The sequence below is a fragment of the Homo sapiens genome, chromosome 3 (genome assembly GCF_000001405.40).
Source record: "Homo sapiens chromosome 3, GRCh38.p14 Primary Assembly".
Taxonomy (NCBI): domain Eukaryota; kingdom Metazoa; phylum Chordata; class Mammalia; order Primates; family Hominidae; genus Homo; species Homo sapiens.
Window position 1 is genome coordinate 187,697,369 of NC_000003.12, and position 19,065 is coordinate 187,716,433.

At 44.1% G+C, this 19,065-nt stretch overlaps 1 protein-coding gene and 1 long non-coding RNA gene across 4 annotated transcripts in view, besides 1 other annotated feature; one reads left to right on the forward strand and one right to left on the reverse strand.

Annotated features, from left to right (window-relative positions):
* Positions 1-890: 890 nt before the first annotated feature.
* Positions 891-18,323, reverse strand: RTP2 (receptor transporter protein 2). Of its 3 annotated transcripts, none has more exons than XM_017006302.2 (5): positions 17,944-18,323; positions 16,933-17,067; positions 14,301-14,389; positions 4,597-4,796; positions 891-1,643 (listed from the first exon to the last, which is right to left on the reverse strand). In XM_017006302.2, exons 4-5 carry the CDS (start codon positions 4,758-4,760, stop codon positions 1,130-1,132), a joined length of 678 nt encoding a protein of 225 aa, XP_016861791.1. In that variant the 5' UTR covers positions 4,761-4,796; positions 14,301-14,389; positions 16,933-17,067; positions 17,944-18,323; the 3' UTR covers positions 891-1,129. The 3 variants fall into 3 exon arrangements, with proteins under 3 accessions (XP_016861791.1, XP_016861790.1, NP_001004312.2); XM_017006301.2 differs by having other exon boundaries at positions 17,895-18,323; NM_001004312.2 differs by lacking the exons at positions 14,301-14,389; positions 16,933-17,067; positions 17,944-18,323 and having other exon boundaries at positions 4,597-5,189.
* Positions 1,105-1,286: a silencer, noted in NCBI's record as "fragment chr3:187416261-187416442 (GRCh37/hg19 assembly coordinates)". NCBI's record gives its function as "represses an EF-1alpha promoter that drives an FKBP-Casp9 reporter gene in an ReSE screen in phorbol 12-myristate 13-acetate-treated (for megakaryocytic differentiation) K562 erythroleukemia cells {active_cell/tissue: K562(+PMA)}" and the evidence as "EXISTENCE:reporter gene assay evidence [ECO:0000049][PMID:32094911]".
* LOC100131635 (hCG1645011-like) overlaps positions 4,998-19,065 on the forward strand; it is a 30,050-nt gene continuing 15,982 nt past the window's right edge. Inside the window, exons 1-2 of the long non-coding RNA NR_034062.1 lie at positions 4,998-5,171; positions 18,254-18,372. This is a non-coding gene — a long non-coding RNA (hCG1645011-like). The remainder of the gene's footprint in view (positions 5,172-18,253; positions 18,373-19,065) is intronic.

Genomic DNA, 19,065 nt, shown 5'->3' on the forward strand with positions numbered 1-19,065 from the left:
TTGTATTTTTAGTAGAGGCAGGGTTTCACCATGTTGGCCAAGATGGTCTCTATCTCCTGACCTCGTGATCTGCCTGCCTCAGCCTCCCAAAGTGCTGGGATTACAGGCGTGAGTCAACGCACCCAGCCCAGACCCACTTTCCATATCCTCTCAGGAAATAAGGTAAGACAACACTGCAGATGCTACTCAAGAGAGGCAGGAGCACAGAGATAATCTATTTACAGTGTTTATCTACCTTTAGCAAACCTCACACCACCTTTACCTGCCCCAGAAGGCTTCATGCTGCACCTTTAAACCTGCACCCACCTCTTGGTGGTATAAGTCCACATACATTTAAGTGGGAATTTCAAGTTCTGGACTGGAGTTCACCAACAGAAATTTCTGTAATGACGTTCTATATCTGTACATTGCAATATGTTAGCCACTGGCCACATAAGGGTACTGTGCACTTGATATGTGGCTGGTGTGACTGAGGAACTGAATTGTTAATGTTATTCCATTCTAATTAATTTAAATTGAAATATCCACATATGGCTAGTGGCCAACATATTGGACAGTGCAGGTCTAGACAATTCCAGCCAAGCAGACCCTAGCACCAGAGTAAAAAAACTAAGTTTCAGAACGACAGGAGCAGGCTCTCCAGGAGAGGACCAGGTACCTTGTCCCTAAGCATTGAATGGGGCCACTGCCCTCTCCAAAAGGAAGCAAGGCAGGATGGGCAGAGGCAGCTGAAGGTGAGCTTAAGGACGAGGCAGGATTAACACAGAACCTAATGGGGTCATAATGGGGGAAGATATATGGAAATGAAGCATAAGGAGAGGTAGAGATGGAGGTGGAGGAGAGAAAGGAAGCAGGTCCCTCCTGTTGACCTAGTACTAGCACCAATCCTGGCAAGCTCTAAAACCTTTATTACACCCTTTTCCCCTTCCCCCAATTATTGTCACATCCAGTGAAAGAATCATTGCCTATCTTCTAATGCAATCCTCTCATTCCGCAGATGCATTAACTGAGGCCCAGAGAGGTGACCGGATTGTCCAGTCATATGTTGAATCTGTAGCAGGATCAAGTCCAGACTGTGTCCTCCCCACTCTCAAGCCCATGTGCCCTCTCCCACCCTTAACCAGCTCCACTAAAAGAAGGCAGGACTGAGGAAGGAGAACTGCAGGTAAACAACGAGCAGGCAGAGAGAGGCCCAGAAGAGGCACCAGCGAAGAGACAAGAAGTTGTAGCCGGATCCCGCCTGGGCCCTCGGCTTGGAGGCTTCAGAGGTGTAGGTGGTCACCTCCTCCTCCAGCAGCTTCTCGCTGGGCTTCCAGTGAACGATGCCCTCCTGGCAGGCCTCACAGAACTCTGCACGATGCGGCCCGCTGTCCGGGCGGCTGGCCACGTGGATGCGGTACTGGCCACCATCCTCCTCGTAGCACTGCTCGCGCAGGCTGGTGATGAGGTTGTCCACCAGGCCCTCGATGTTCTCCTCCAGCATGCTGGACTCGTCCAGCCGCGCCGTGCCGCACTCATAGCACAGCTGCTTGAAGACGCGCATGCGCACCGAGCCCGCCCGCTGGGCGCGGTCCAGGAACATGTGGAAGAGGATGACCACATGGGCAGACTGCCAGGTGTGCCAGCACCAGGAGCAGTGGAACCTGCCGGGAGGAGAAGGAGGGGTGGAGAAGGTGGGCATCCCAGAGAAGCCTGCCCTGAGAAGCTCTGAGAGGGAAAAAAAAGCCTGTGTGCCCGTGCTTGGAGATGGAGGCAGTGTTTACTGCCCTGTGGATTCATTAGCACTCCAAGGCCGGCCTGCTCTCGCCTCCTCCTGGTGAGCACCCCTGGGACCCGAGCAGCATCCTCAGGAGCCAGTGCCGGAGCCATCTGGCATCCAGCAGTGCTCTAGAGCGTGCCTCCTGCGGTCTCAGCTGCCCCCCAGCCCGATGCACTCAAGGTTGCACCTGGGCGCTGTGCAGGGTCATCCCCCCCTCTCTGGGCTTCATTTCTCATTTGTGAAATGTAGTGTGTTGGCGTCCAGTAAGGGTCCTTCCTCTGTGACCTCCTGCGACTCTAATAAGAAGGATGACATACACCATCTAACTCATGCATCTTGCTTACTTTGGGGAGAAGAGACGCCTCTAACTGTGCCAAGCACAGACCCTGGCACACTGTAGGTCCTCAGTAAACCACTGAGAATGATGGGATGGACAGACCGGTAGATGGGTAGGATCAACTGGCTTTTAGGAGGAACTACCAAGTTTAGTTACTACATCTTCACAAAGAACACTCCCCAGTCTCTTGACAAGTCTTCTCTAGATCCCACTCTAGCCCTGCAGTGGGGACTGGAAAAGAGGGTATTCATTCCCATTGCCACTCCACACACACACACACACACACACACACACACACACACACACACACACACACACATATATTTTCTCTCTCTCTCTTACATGCACAGAGGCCACTTGGCGTAACCTGGGCTTTCTAGAGTCCCAGTCTCAGGAAGTGTTGTGGGTGGTAGCCTGGGGCTCATCTAGGCAAGCCCCACTCACTCCGCCCCCACCACTGCCTGCACACTTTCAGTGATGCAGCACTCCTGACCTCCAGGGCAGTTCTTTCCTTCCCTGAGATGAGCCTCTTCCAGGCCTCTGTTATAGAGGCTTCACAGGCAGTCAGATGTCCACTGGGCTGTCCCTGTCCTCATCACTGGCCCTTTCTGGATCCATTGTATGATGGCCTTGAAGGACTTCTGATTAGGAACTCAATTCAATCCAACAGACACCATTCAACACCTCCCATATGCCAAGCACCACTCAACCCAGGCTATGGGATAGAGGTGAGGCCAAGCCTGGCTCTGACCCCTGAAAGCCTGATCACATGAGCATAGAACAGTACCCAGAATGGCCCAAGGTGGGGTTGGCAGGTCAGAGGAACCTAGCTGGTACTGAACCAGGAGAGGTTCCCCGCCCCCAGTGCTGGGTGAGAGCTGCAGGGCATCTGCCTGTTTAGAGACAGAGTGAGCCTGTGCACAAATAAGCTCATGGGCAGCAGTTCTTCAGCTCTTCCTGAGGCCAGCTGGGAGCCACAAGTCACCAGCCAGGAGTAAGAGGAGCTGACCTCTGAAGCAAGAGGAGACATGAGCTTGCTGAGCTCAGCCCCGAAACTCTGGATCCTGGGCACTCAAGTTTCCAGGCATCTGCACCTCTTCCACCAGGCAGTTCAAATGCTTTATGTTTTCAGTCTCCTTCTACACCTTTTTACATCAAACCAACCCAGAATTGCTTCACCTACATCAAGTTAGGCCTCACATCTTAAATTCAAAAATATCAGATCTGGGGGCAGGCGAGCTTAAGAAGCATCTAGTCAGCCCTTTATTTCACTGAGAAGAGACAGAAGCCCAGATAGTAAGAGAGGCATCCATGTACACACAGCTAGTTAGAGGCAGAGCCAGTGCTCAGCACATAACAGGTACCCAATAGATGCTTCTTGAGTTGATGGAACTGACATGAATCAGCCAACCTCTGGTTTTCTGTCTTTTTTTCACAAGGCAGGTTTACTCCAATAATTCCAGGTCTTGGGACAAGAGTACAAACGTAAGCTCCCTACCCACATCTTGCCTCCTCTGTTCCCACCCTCAGCACCATTCTGCACCATGAGAAGCTTCACACACATACACGTGAACAACCCAGCCTTTGTGTCCATGTTCTGGCTACATCTCCAGAGCACAGCCACTTACTGGCCTCTCTTGAATCCAAGGACACAGGAAAAAGGCCTGCACAGACACTACAGATGGACTTGAGGTAGTCTGGGGAGGAATTTCTGTAGTCCCAGTCCCCAATCATGATCTAAAAGGAGGAAAGGCATGTGGACTTTAGACGGCCTCGTCCCCTTGGCCTCAAGGACTCTTTGCCCTGTGGTAGATGTGCAGCTCCTATAAAGAGTGGGACCCTGGGCTCTAAGTTCCTAAAGAAAGTTTTGCTCAAAGCTAAATCTTTTTATCACAGGTGCATAGATAATAGAGCTAGAGTGGATTGGATCTATTATCTAAGACCAACCCCCTCATTTTGTAAATATAAAAACTGAGAGCCAGAAAGGGAAACAGACTTGCCAAGTTTACAAGGCTACTTAGCTATATAGAGCCAGTTCGTAGCACACAGCAGGTGGTCAATAAATGTTTATGTATTCAGATCAAATTGGATTAATTCACTAAACATATCTAGGAACAGAGCATAGCTGTACCCCCTGCATTCCCCCAACTCCTAGATTAAAACTTTCCCCAATGGACCTCATGGCCTCCTTCCTTCAGTTCCAACTCACTCTAAATGTCAGAGATTGCAGGGACATAGATGATATTACAGCTCTTCATTTAATGTGGACAACTAAGACCCAAAGATGGAACATAACTTTCTCAGGGTCACCCAGGGAGTTAGTGGTATTGCTAGGATTAAAAGCAAGAACTCTCTGACCCAGCCGGCTGTCTTTGTCTTTTTCCCCATCTGAGCTGACACCAGAATAAGCCCGCGACTGGGCTCTGTCTCTCCTTGGAAAGTACCCCACAGCTGTGACCCAGGGGCTGTCTGCAAGGTCCCTCCCCACTGAACCTCTCACCTGCCTGAGGCGTGCTGCTCCAGGTACTGCTTCCAGCCAGGGGCCAGCTCACTGGGCTTGAGGTTGGGGTCTATGATGAGCTCCCAGCTGTCCGCTGGCTTTGCCACCTCCATCTTCTCATAGAAGACTTTCTTCCACTCACAAGTGGTCAAGCTGGTACACATGGTCCTGCTGGCAGAGGTGGCAGTTCGAGCTCAGCCCTGGTGAGAACACAGAAAGAGCACGGATAGGTACGGGACAATTCAGTGTCTACGGTCAGAATCCTCATCGGCAGGACTGGGAGTAAACAGGACCCAGCTCCCTCCTCTGTTACCCTGGAACCTGTTACCATGGTAGCCAGGCAGGGCACCAAGAGTGAGGGCTGGGGAGAAGGGAAGCCCCAAGGGGGAGTTTCAGGGCCCTGAGTTAGGCTTCAGAGGCAGCGCTGGGTAGGCCTGAGAGGAGCAAGCACAGTGGGAGGCCCAACCTCAGACCACACTCATCTGGATTTCCAGAGGTCTCCAGGAGGCAAGGACTATTTGGTGGCCCTGCTTCACCCAACTGCTCTTCTAGCATTCTCCACATCATGTGCTATGGTAAGTACGACACCCTAGGAAGTCAAGGAGAAATGAGGGACAGGGAAAGGCAGAGCCTGCTGCTTCCACACCCCCTGATATGCTGTGACCATCACTTACCATGTGCCTAGCACAAACCGCTTGACCTGTGTGCTGGCCAAAGCAGATCAGATCAGGAAACTGAAGTTTATGCAACCCCTAAGTGGCTCATCCAAGATTCAGATCTAGGCCTTCTGAAACCGAGCTCATTTGTTTATTTATTTTAGTACTATTGTGCTCCTAACAGGGAATTGAGTGAGAAGTAACATCTCTTTGCCCAGGGCAATCTTAGACCAGTTGGTGAGCTAGAATGTAATTTCATATGCCATGCAAAGCACAGTAATAACATTTCAGATTCATAGCGTCATAGAACTGTTAGAGCCCATATTCAGTTCCTGGTCCCAAGCCAGGCTAAGGTGGCTGCTGGGGTAATGAGTTTGTTCTGTGCTGCAGGCTCCTGCTGCCTCCATTACTGCTGAGCTGGAGCAAGAGAGCATCCGTAGCTCTGTGATGCCCAATTCAAATTCTTTAGAAACCAGAGGGGAATCTGACTTCAAATTTGGTAATCCAAGTGAAGACACGGTTACCTGAAGGGAGGCTGCCTTGAGCATGGAAAAGACCAGGCATATGGCTGCTTACCCTAGCTTTGGTCCAACTTCCAACTGTAATCATCTTACGATTCTTTAACCCGGAAGTCTGGATCCCTAGACACGCAGAGTTCCAACAGTAAAGAGCTTCAAGAAGTGAAACAGGTTGCTAAGAACCGGAAGCTCTTGGTGTTGAGTTGCCAAGTGGTTTTCAGGAAGTGTGAAGTCAGGGACAATGTCACTGGATTCTCTCTTGAAATGAAAAGTGTTACTCTAGCGGCTTTGTGCTAAAGACCTCAGAAAGGACACAATTGTCTTTGAACCATTGACTGACAGCTCTAGAAGAGCTCTTTTATTTTTAAAAATCTGGTTTATTTCTTGAACTCTTCATTTCTTAACCAAAATTTATTGACATTGAATTAAAACAACTGAGGCCTGGAAATGGAAAATTACTGGCCCAGGCTCTCAGGACTGGGTAGCTCAAACCTCACTGGGGATTCCCTTAGAAGCCAGTTACCAGACCAGGTGAGACAGAGGGATCCATGAATGGCCAGGAACTGAACGAAGCTGAGATGAGCTTATGGCCTGGCCTAGACCCTCGTGCCAGGAAAGAACCTCTGAGAAATAGTATACCCTTGTTCCCAGAACAAATGGCAATAAAGGAAAAACAGAAAGAGGATGAGAATTGTCAGGGTTTACCTGTATTTTCTTTTTTCCTCAAATAATGCAATCCCCTTAGGCCTAGTATCAGGTTTAATTTAGCATAGCAGCTTCTAAGCAGAGACCAATAGAATTCATCTTTCTGTGTAACAGCACTGTTTTCACTTTTCATACAATCAGTGAGCACAATTACTACTTCAATTTTCCGCGAATGACACTATCTTATTCCAGAACCCACGATTTAAGAGCTCACAAATGTATATTGTGTACAGCTGTGGCCACATCACACTCTGGCAGCTTCATTATACATATTTTGTCTAGGCAATACTTTTTCAAATAAAGAAATTGTTATTTCTTTATAAAATAAAATACTGAGCACCTGTATTCTGCAAACAAATCAGCAAGGGGGAGGGGATGGATAAAAGAATCACTTTTCCCCTTCAATTTGGAATGCAAGTTAATGAAGAGCTTTGTAAAATATTTATTATTCAATTTTACTTATTAGAGTAATGTAAGAAATGCCAGTGTGGAGCTTAAAATGACAAAGTAATGAAGAGTTGAAAAGGTGTGTACATCAAAATCACCTGGAGAGTTCTGAAAACTGTATACACCTCTGCTTCAGAGATTTCAATACATGTTCTTGAGGAGACAAATTTGCTCTCCACCTACTCCAGTCCTGGGAAGAATCCCTTCTATTGCCAGCCATTGTTACTGATGGGATATGTTGTCCCACAGGCTACTGGAGGCCAAAAATGAAAAACAAAAAAAGAAGATTGAGTAAAATGAGCTAGTGGTTTATAATATTTCTTTACCAGGAAATAGATCCAGGACAAATGCAAGGTGTGTCCTATCTTCTCCTGTGTCTCCGCAATTCAAAGAACCGTAGACGATGCTATAGGGCGAATCCAAGATCCCCTGGGGAGTATTTTCAAGAGATATTAGGAAGGCCTCTCCATCCCCAGGATGTAGCACTTAGCGACAGCATGGTCCAAGCTCCCACTCTTTGGGTGGGAGCTGACCTCTGAATCTCAGGGGAGGCCACACAGAGCAGTCCATGGCTCTCTAATAGTGGCACATAGTGGAATCTTCCCAGGAAGATTTTACGCTGCCCTTTTATTAATTGGCAGCAACCAGAGCAACTGCAGGCAAGTGACATTCTGTTTCTGCTGGTGTCCAAGGGCCCAAATTCTGTGCACCATGCTTCCCAGCACCCCAAAGGCTCTGGAATCTGTATTAAGAGTGACTATATCTACTTATCCTTTTTTCCGGGTCTTATTATCCTAGATAGAGATTTGGTGACGAATCTATTATGGGATGTAAATACATAAAAAGACAGATAGAAATAGGGTGTGCTCCATGCAAGGGAGAAAAAAAAAAGATAGGGGTTGAGTTAGGAAGGAAGAATATAGAGGGTCTGGGGACACTTTCAGCAGGTACAGCCTATGCTGCTTCTGTCCAAGAGGCTGAGGGCCTTCATCAGAGTTCCTTAGCTATACTCAGAGAACCTGCTAGTTTCTGTTGAGCTGAGGCTCAACACACACAAAAATAGCCATGACTCATCTCTGGGACACTCCTAGCCATCAAGGCAGGGTGAAAAGGGAGCATGGGATAGATTGTGCTGGCTTTTAAAGCATCCATTCTAAAAATGACAAGGCTGGGGTCAATATCCTGGGCAGACTTTTAAAAATATATATCTTTCCTTTTAAACACACATTTACCCAGTAGAACATTTGTAGTTCCAGGGCTTTCCAGGAGACACCAATTCACATAAGGAAAGGACCCATTAAAGCTGAGTCCATTCCTGAGGCAAGTCTCTCACGATAAATAGAACGAATTTTACCTTGAGTATCTATCTTTAGGAAACAGGTCACCTTCCAAAGACTGATGGGGATTCCTTGATGAGCAGTCAGAAAGGCTGTTTGGCCCCAACACTTAGCTCAGTTAACTTCCTTGGAGACTTTACATTCCCAGAATTGACTATGTACTTCAATTTACATGGGAGTGAGAAGGGAAAGGACTAATACACTCATTAGTATTGTATTTACCCTTAAGGCTGGATACTGACTTTACCCTTTTTCTTATCCAAAAATCAAGATAAAATTGTTCAAGTGCATAAAATTGGACAAACATTACATAGATATTGCATAAACAGGCAGTTAAAAGCCCCCAGTAAAGATTTAAACAGACCACTTAGCTCTGACATTGGAACCAGAAGATACACAGTCAATAGGAGTCACAGGCCCAAAATGATCAGGCTTTGCTTAGAGTTAAGTTAAATATGCTAGAAACACTTCAATTTATTTCCCCAGTTGTCAAACAATTGGAAAGAGCATAACTACACACTATAAAAATGCTTTCTTACTCCCAAGGATAAGGCAGGTAGGTTTTATAGTAAAACAAAGCATATGAGACGCAGATCTTACATGAGATGTAAAACAAATATGTTAAACGAAGATGTTTTACATGAGATGTAAAACAAAGCATATGAGATGCAGATCTTTATATTTCTCAGTAAATTTGAGCTTTCTTGATATATGCTTATAGACACTATAGTTAAAAAGCTACATTTCTTGCAAAGTCCCAAGGTAAATATAAGTAAAGCTTGGGAAGAGAGAATTCTACAAGAAAACCCACTGACCAGAATAAAAAGAATTTTAAAACAGAAAGATCCCTTGATTAGTGAAACAAGAAAATGGCCACAACTACAAGCCAGAACAATTATAGTTAAATTTGGATATAGAGTGGGAGCACATGAAGAACCAATGCATGCCTCACTTCATCTCACGCAGAGTGAATATTTCTTTTCTTTTTTTTTCTTGGGACAGTCTCACTACGTCAAGCAAGTTGGAGTGCAATGGCGTGATCTCGGCTCACTGCAGCCTCTGCCTCCTGAGTTCAAGCGATTCTCCTGCCTCAGCCTCCTGAGTAGCTGGGATCACAGACGTGCACCAGCACACCTGGCTGATTTTTGTATTTTTAGTAGAGATGGGGTTTCACCATGTTGGCCAGGCTGGTCTCGAACTCCTGACGTCGTGATCCACCCACGTCGGCCTCCCCAAGTGCTGGGATTACAGGCATGAGCCACTGTGCCTGGCCAGAGTGAACATTTCTTTAAACATGACCCACCCCAGTAGCAATGAGCACACCTACCACACACATCTGGGTTCCTAATACCATTCTCCAGTTAAAATAACAACAACAAACTAGGTCTTCTTGGAAAAATTATATGAAGGCTCATTCATTCCTATGTCTGGAGGTTGATGCTGCCTGTGAGATGGGACCACAGCTAGGTCTATGGGCCAAAACATCTACACATGGCCTTTCTATGGAGCCTGGGCTTCCTCACAGGATGCTGGCTGAGTTCCAAGGGCTGGTGTCACAAGAGAATCAGGCAGAAGCTGTGCTTCCTTTTATGAGCTACCCTCAAAAGTCACAAGGCAACACTTTCACCATTGCCCAGATTCAAGGTAAAGGAGCATAGACCCCACATTTGGATAGGAGGAAAGTCAAAGCTATGTTGTAAGAAGATGCAAGTCGGGAGATACCAATGTGATCGTCTTTGGAAAACATGCATTGTCACAGCAGGTAGGGAAGTCAATAAGGCTTCCACAGAAGGAGTGGTATGTGAATAAACCCTTACAGGATGACCAATTGGCAGTTAAATAAAAAAAATGTTAAAGGGGTGCTTTTCCCTAAGGAGGGGAAAGCATGGGCAAAGACTTAGAAAATGAAATGACATAGAATCATTCTTGAGACTCCATATCATTTAGGACATCTGGATCACACAGAAGAGTGATGGAAGTTGAGGCCTGAAAGATACATGGGACCTGGATTATGGAGTTTTTAACACCCTGGCAAAGTTGAGATTTTGCCTTAGAGGGGACGTGAAATTACTAAATCGTTTTAGGCCTGAACTACATGATCCTATTTGCATATCAACAATGTGCTATTTAAACGCATTGCTCTCTCTTCCTTTTCCCCATAAATTGGCTGATGTCTAAAAATGCTGTTTCCATGACACACTTGCCGTGAATTCTAATCTGCTTAGCTCCTTGCAAATCTAGATCCCTCTGTAGGAGGTGTGAAAAGGACCTTCACTCCATTAACCAAAAGTGTTCTCTAGGGAGAACACTCCATTGAGTATTCTTTTGTACACTCCCAATTGAAACCTACTGGATTAAGTGTGATGAGAAGATGGAGAAATAGTTTACAATGTTTTATATTGAAAAGTTATTAATAGAGTTGGAATATTAAATTTTTAATGAGTTTTTATTGTCCGTAAAACTTCTATGGACTATTTTCCCTAATGAAGGTACATGTGAACGAGAAATAGATACATTGATGCTTATAAGTCTCCAGTAGTACATCAGCATGTGACAAATGAACACAGACACCCACGGGCTATATCTACCAAATTGCCTTAAATCTCCTACCTAGATTTTTCATGCTATAGGAAGATAGAAAAATCTTAATGTGGATTTATGCTGGTAAGCAGGGGGAAAGAAGGAGTTTGAAAACAATTTACAGTGAAGAGTAAACTCTGTGATGATAAAGTAGAAACTGCTGGTGCCGGTGCCATAACAGTTACTTAATCTGTGTCATGACCTGAAAGGCAATTAAATGAAGTCTGAGTGGGTGAAGAAACTCTTAAGATTCAGTCCAAAATGGTTTCCATGTCCAAGGGGACCCATTGATGGAAGCTGGTCAGGGGACAACACCAAACTCATTCTATCCAGAGAATTTGTATGATGCAAGAAATAGCAAAAGCTTCAAGCTGATTCTCGAGGCATCAGAAGCTGGGCAAAGAAATAGCAGACTAGTTCCTCATCTTAAATACTAGTTGCAGGAGCTGACCTTAATTTAATATACTTTAATTATAATAAAAGGTAATAGTGATAAAGTCCTCACTATGCACTATGAGTTTTTCTAAGTACTTTACATATATTAATTCATTTAAGCACACACAAGAACCCTATGAGGTGGATACTATAATTATTTTCCCCATTTGACATAAGAGGAAACTGGGACTCAGAAAGGTTGAGTGATTTACTGGAGGTCCTATAGTTAATAAGTGACAGTTCTGGGATTTGGACTCATACAATCTGGCTTACTGACTATGCATATTTGTCCACTAAGCTATTCCCTAGGCCCAGTTTTTTTTTTCCTTTTTTTTTTTTTCTGTCTTCCCTGGAGTAGAACCTAGGCACAGTTTTTAAAGTAATAATCTCATTGTAAAATTTCAAAAGATACAAAAATATATTAACTATTAAATGAAAGCTCCATATCCTCTTTGTCCCACTCTCCCTGCCCTTCATTTTTTCCAAGTTACTATTGTTAAACATTTAGAATTTATTTGATTAAAGAATGTATTTGATTTTTTAAAACATTGCAGTGTTTTATAGTATCTCTAATGTTTAAAAAAAGTTATATGGCATTGACATCTTCCAAGTTTGGTGCACAATGGCTTGTGAGACACAGATTCGGAGCTTGTTTGTGAGCCTCTATTAGCTCATGAGTGCCCCTATCTGAAACCTGCATCAGCACCTCACCGTGGCTTGCATGTTCCACTGCACAGGCAGTACCTTGGGAATTTATTAAAATACTGTCTCTGGCGGGCATGCCTGTAATCCCAGCACTTTTGGAGGCCGAGGTGGGCAGATCATGAAGTTAGGATTTCCAGACCAGTCTGGTCAACATAGTGAAACCCCATCTCTACTAAAAATACAAAAAATTGGCCAGGCATGGTGGTATGCCCTTGTAATCCCAGCTACTCAGGAAGCTGAAGCAGGAGAATCGTGTGAACCCAGGAGGCAGAGGTTGCAGTGAGCCAAGATCACACCATTGCACTCCAGCCTGGGTGACAGTGTGAGATTCTGTTTCAAAATAAATAAATAAATAAAATACTGTTTCTGTGTGAAATGTTTATCTAAAGAGGGAGGAAACATCATTAAAATTTGAAAAAAATGTTAACATGATGTGAGGACATGCATTGGCAACATATGTAGGATGAATAATTTCATATGTCAACTTCGCTTGACCAAGGGGTGCTCAAATATCTGCTTGGATACGATTTCTGGATGTGTCTGTGAGAGGACATGCATTGGCAACACATGTATGATGAATAATTTTATATGTCAACTTCGCTTGACCAAGAGGTGCTCAAATATCTGCTTGGACACCATTTCTGGATGTGTCTGTGAGGGTGTTTTTGGAAGAGATCAGCTATTTGAACTGGTGAATTGAGGAAAGCAGATGGCCCTCCCAACGTGGATGGGCATCATCCAATCCATTAAGGGCCTGAATAGAACAAAAAGACAATGCAGGAAGGTTGAATTCACTCTCTGCCTGACTTTTGAGCTGAGACATTGATCTCCTCCTGCCCTCAACTCCTGATTCTCAGGCCTTGAGACTCAGGCTGGAATCTACAAGATCAGCTCTCTGGCTCTCAGGCCTTCAAACTGTACCACTGGCTTTCCTGAGTCTTCAGCTTGTAGTTGGCAAGACTGTGAGACTTTTCAACCTCTGCAATCACATGAGCGAATTCCTCATAATAAATGTCTTCCTAAATATCCATATATATATATATATATATATATCATATATTATATGTATGTGTATATCCTATACAAGCACACACACATAAATATCTATCTTATTGGTTCTGTTTCTCTGAAGAACCTGGGAACCATATGATATGTATGGTTCTCCATATATTTAGGTGTGTGTATATGTGCATATATATATATATATGTGTGTGTATATGATATACATATGTGTATATGTGTGTATATATTACCTAAATATATGGAGAACCATACAAATACACATACACACACACAAACACATATACACACCCCACATATAGTACTTATCAATTCCATTTCTCTGGACAACCCGGATTAATACACCATAATTCTCTCTAAATGGGATTTCAGTAAAAGCCTGAAAACCTTTGCAAACATTTCTGGGTTTTCGACTTGAGGATTCCTGAAAGTGTAGGCAAAAATTCTCTGGCGATGTCAAGGGTCCACTCTGTTGGCACAAAGCTCTTTATGGGGAGTCAGGAGACCTAGATTCTTATCTCAAACTTGTAATAACCCTAGGTAAATCAGTTTAGTACCCTGAGCATCAATTTTCTAGGTGCCGAATTAGAAATTTCAAAGGTGCTGACCTCTGAAGCCCCATTCTCTGCTGAGATTTTGGATGTCTAAAGGCACCATGTAAAGCAAAGTGCTCTCACTGATCCTAATATGCATAGCCACCCCTTCTGCTGTTTCTATGCATCTCTGTCTTGGTTTCAGTGTGCTTTTGATTCCAATGGCTCAAAGAGTCTTCCAGCTTTGTTGGCGCTTTAGGATCTAAGGGAATATGGGTGGTGTCCAGGGGTGTCTATTTTTAAATGCATTCAGTAAGCATTTATTAACACCTTGTCAGGTGAGGCTCTGAGGCTGTCGGCATGACTGAAACATGGTCCCTGCCCTCATGGATTCAGTCTGGGGCAGAGATAGTCTTACCTTTATTTGTTTTCAGCCTTGAAGAAATCAACACCTGCACCATGCACTATGCCATTAGGGAACCCACTGCTCTCCGGTTAGAAGTAAACTCTCAGCTTTCCTTGTTTGACCCATGAGTTGTTTTGAAGGAATTTTTTAAAAATATATAAACAAGTGGAATTTTTCCAGTTCCCTTTTTATTGTTGATTTCTAACTTAATTGTACTGTTCTTAGAGAATGTGGTCTGTATGGCACCAATCCATTGAAGTTTTCTAAGGCTACTGTTGATCTTTCTTAATTATGCTTTTCTGTATTTAATTCTTAAACATTTATGCTGACTCAATTTAGAGAGATAATATGATAATTACAACTTCAGAGTCTAGAGCCAGATCTTGATTTTCCTCTCAGCTCTGCCAGTGACTTGCTGCATAAAATTGGGTAATAATCTCAGTTTCCACATCTGTAAAGTAAGAATAATAAAAGAGATGATTACAGTGGGTTCCGAAGAGGATCAAATAAGCTTATACTTGCACAGAACCAAAAACAGTTCTTGGCACATAGTGAGTGCTCAGTAAATGTTATTTAATATTATTTTTCTACTTATATATTCCATTTATAGAACATTCTCAAAAAGACAAAATTATAGAGGTGGAGAACAGATCAGCGGTTGCCAGAGGTTAGAGATGAAGGGAGGGAAACAGGATGACGATAAAAGGGTAGCACAAATGGTCTTCGAGATGATGGAACTGCTGTATATCTTGGTTGTGGTGGTGGCCATGTGAATCTACACATACAACAAAATTGCATAGAAACACACACACACACATACGCACATACACATACACACGAGTGCATGTAAAACGATGTAAGTCTGAATAAGGTCTGTGGATTATACCCACTGAGTCAACTTCCTGGCTTGGATATTGTGCTATCGTTAGGTAAGACCTTACCATTGAGGGAAACTTGCAGAAGGGTACACAGGACCTCTCTGCACTATTTTTTGTAACTTTTTGTGAGTCCATAATTATTTAAAAATTTAAAAAACTTTTAAATGCTCCTAGTATATGGTGAATGTCTAATAAATGTTATTTATTATGTTTTGTCATAGCTGTTTTTCAAGTTTTTATGTATATTTAACATATTTTAACTTTGAAATTAAATTCAGAACAATAGATACTATTTTTAAAAAGACAAAGTGTGTCTCAGCAAAGTTCCATATTGTTACATGTAGAGGAACTTTGAGCCCCTTGTGAGCTGAAAAATGGCTTAGAATTTCTGATAACTAGTGTCTTTTTGTTAGCCCCTTTTGAATTGTGAAAATATCAGGAGGCATGAATAAGAAAACTCTAAGTCCTGAGTCCATGCATGTTCGTCTCCTGGATGCAGGAAAACTTGGGAACAATAGATGAGAAAGGGCTGGACCCGAGGAATTAGAACTCTGCGGTCTCAACGAATGGTTTATATTCCCAGAACACCCCTAGTGAGAGCAATCTCCTACCTCCATCACTCAGTTACTTTGACCAGAAAAGTCCTTGTCACTGTTTCCAAAAGGGGTCCTGAAGATTATCCTATACAGTCTTTGCATTTGCAATCAGAAGCTGGGGCTGAGGGACGGTAAGTTTCCTGACCAAGGCCAGTAGCTGGTCAACAGCAGAGCCTGGTCTTCAATCAAGGCGAAAGCTGTTTGCTCTGGGTCTCACTGTGGCAGGGCCCAGGACAGCAGGGATTTGATGCTGTCTCCCACCCAAAACCACCCAGAGTCATTGAGTGTAATCAGGAGACCAGTGCTTAAGGGGCACCTCCTCAGGCCCTCAGCACTGAAGGGGAGCAGGGAGGAGATTGAGATGTACCCAGCCCACAGCCTAGGCACCAGCCGTCCAGGGACACGGGCCTACACTGTGATGCAGGTGGTGGGCGCCATGGCATGTCCCAGTGGCTTCCTCTCTGTCTACTCCCAGAATTTACAATTTTGACCCTAAGAGAATACCAACCCTAAAAGCCTAAATTTTCTCCTTACACTGTTGTGAGTTGAAAAAGCTGTGCTCAAGGGTACACAAATGTTACCAGTGGAAGGTGTCCAGGTTCTTGGCATTTTGAACAAAGAATTGGACAAAATGCACAAACAAAGCTATGAAAGAATAAAGCAAAGAGAGCATAGATTTATTGAAACGAAAGTATACTCCACAGACTGGCAGTGGGCTTGAGCAAGCACCCCAAGAACGCTGGTTACAGAATCTTCTGGGCTTTAGATACCCTCTAGAGGCTTCCCATTGATTACTTGGTTCACACCCTATGTAAATGAAGTAGTGGCTCACAACCAATCTGATTGGACATGGAAGGTGACCAATCAGAGGCTAACATGAAGTTACAAAGTTACACCCTATGCAAGTGAAGACTAGGCCTACAATCAGTCTGATTGGTTGCAGGAGGGGACCAATCAGAGGTACTTTCATTTTTAATTTGCAAGGCAGAAAAGCAGGAGGGGTGGGGGGAGCAAGTTGCAAAGGGAGTAGCCTCGGATCCTTTTGTTACTTGGGTGTGGAGAGATGGGGTTTTCCTTTTTATTCAGTTCTAGGAAACCAGTGCAAATTGGCCTTAGGTTCTCTGTCTCCAGACCCTATTCTCCTGCCTCACAAAGATAGGTGTACCTTTTTGTTAATTCAACCACTGACACACAAAGTTACTGCCTGTGCTAGCTGAGTGTCTGACAGCAAGTCAGAAGGCAAATGGTCTGTTCTCGGCCCTCACCCGCTAGCCAGGTGTTCTTAGGCTCTCCTCTCCGAACCTCAGTTTTGTCACTTGCCAAATGGGATATCTTGCTTCCTTAACTGGCGAGATTGTGGTGAGGATTAAGTGAACCCTTGGAGATGAAAGGCTTTTGTGATTTGTAAAGTTTGTTATACTAGACACTAGATTAGTGTCATATCATAAACCCCTGCCTCTCTCCACAGTTCTACTAGGAATTGGCCTCTTTTGCCCAAGAATTGAGATATAACCCCTTACCTTTTCGAGAAGAGCTGGAAATTCCTGATCCCCAAAGGAATGATTCAGAGTGGAACTTTACACACATTCAAGTAGATCTCCGAAAGAAAGATTTGGGGGCCAGAGCCCCTCAGTCAGTTCTGTTAAATGGCTCTGCTGAGATGACGAAGAGGATTTAGAAAGAGAATAGGTACAAAGCCATAGGAGACCAACTCAAAAAATAGCACTGGCCCCATTTATACCTTCCTGCTTCCCTGGAGCCAGAAAAAGTGGCACCTACAGCCTTCACTGCTTGGTCTACCCTGCCACCTTGTGGCTATTTGCTAGAATGCACCAGTAGAACAGCCTCAGAGAAAGCAGGGACCAGTAGGAACCCTTAATCATGCACTCACTCCTTTGCTCCGTCACTCAACAAACCTGTACAGACGCTCACAGTTGTTCAGGCTGAAGAAATTCACAGGCTGGAAGAAGAGAGGGACTGAAGGGAGGGTAAATGGAGAAAAGAGACTTGCTAGGCAGGGGTCTTGGTGTTTGCAAAGACACTGAAGCCTCACAGGTTTGGGAAATGGTGAGCTTCTCCATGTGACTGAAGAATAGGGTGCACCAGGTAGAAATGATGGGAGATAGATTATAGCCTCACTATTAGAAAATGATATGTATGAAACTGTAAGCCTCTGTACGTTAGGAAAAAAAAAACACAAACAAACAAAAAACAAAGAAAGACACAACTTGGTCCCTGGAGTGCAGGGCAATTCAGGTTACAGGTTACAGGTTACAGGTTACAACCCTCCGCAAATGGCCCCCAGACTTCCATGGCCCTGCTGTCCTGAGACTCCTAGGAGGAAACACTTACTCTGAATCCCTCGCCATGATTAAAATCAGTTTCTAAATGGGGTAGGATCTTGTGTAATCTCAAGTTTGAAAGGGACCTTAGAGTCATTTAATCCAACCCTCCCTGCAAGCCAAGATTGCTGCCAACTCACCACACATCTTAAGCTTAAATCACCTTCAGTGATGAGTTCAGATGCTCACCCAAAGCCCGTTCCATCTTTAGACACAGGAAATCCTTTATTCTATCAAGCTGAGTTCTTCCTCTTTATAATTCCTGTTCATTGATATAAGGTTCCCCCCGCCAGGGTTCTGTCAAAGAAGTAATCAGATACATGAATGTATATGAAGAAGGTAACCATTTAGTGGCAGCACTGAGGTTTCTGGAAATAGGAAATCATGGTAGTATTATTTCCGAGGAACTAATACTGGCATAGGCCTTGGGGGAGCTGTGTCCTAGTCCTTATAGAATTTCTTTGCTTAATGTCACTTGGCTTCCTTTCCTTTATGATAGAGTTGGATTCGATCAGAATTCTCACCACTGGTTCTAAGTCAGAATCATCTGGAGAGCAAGAAGCAGAATGTCTGAAATCTTCCTATGGTACAGAACTGCTGGATGAGACCATCAGTGGGGTAAGCTCAAATACTCCATGATAATTCAAGACATGATTAACTATAATAGTCTCCAGTTCTTGTTGAGGTTTTTGTCAAGCCCATGATGGCCTGGTATGTAAGTTCTTGGTGATTCCTATTTCTTAAAGACCTACCTAGATCTACAGCTTTCTCCCATCTGCATGATCAAAGTGTGTCGTTCACAGAGCACAATTATTTTGTCCTGTCGTGCTCTTTTGGACAGAGACCCACCAGTGACATAAAAGACAAAACTAGCTAGAGAAGAAAAAAGAGACGTATTGCCTGATCTTAGCTGAGTGCCATGACCTTCTTGTTCCCCATTCACCTCATCTGTAAAGAGGGAAGACAAACCCACTTCAGTGAGTTGTCGTGAGGGTAATTGAGACCGTGAGTGTAAAGCCTACTGGCAATGAGAAGGCTCTCCAAATCTCAATTCCCTGAGTCTTTGACAGCGAGAAGAAAGTGAAAACGAGAAGCTAGGGTGGTGCCTTTTCTGAGAGCATTTTTCTTCATCTTTCTTCCCATGAACAGCCTCTGTTGAATTGTATCATGTCCCCACAAAATTCATACGTTGAAGTCCTAACTTCTAGTACCTTAGAATGTGACCTTATTTGGAAATAGGGTCGTTGCAGATATAATTAGTTAAGTTGAGATCATTAGAGTGGGCCTTAATCTAACACAAGTGATGACCTC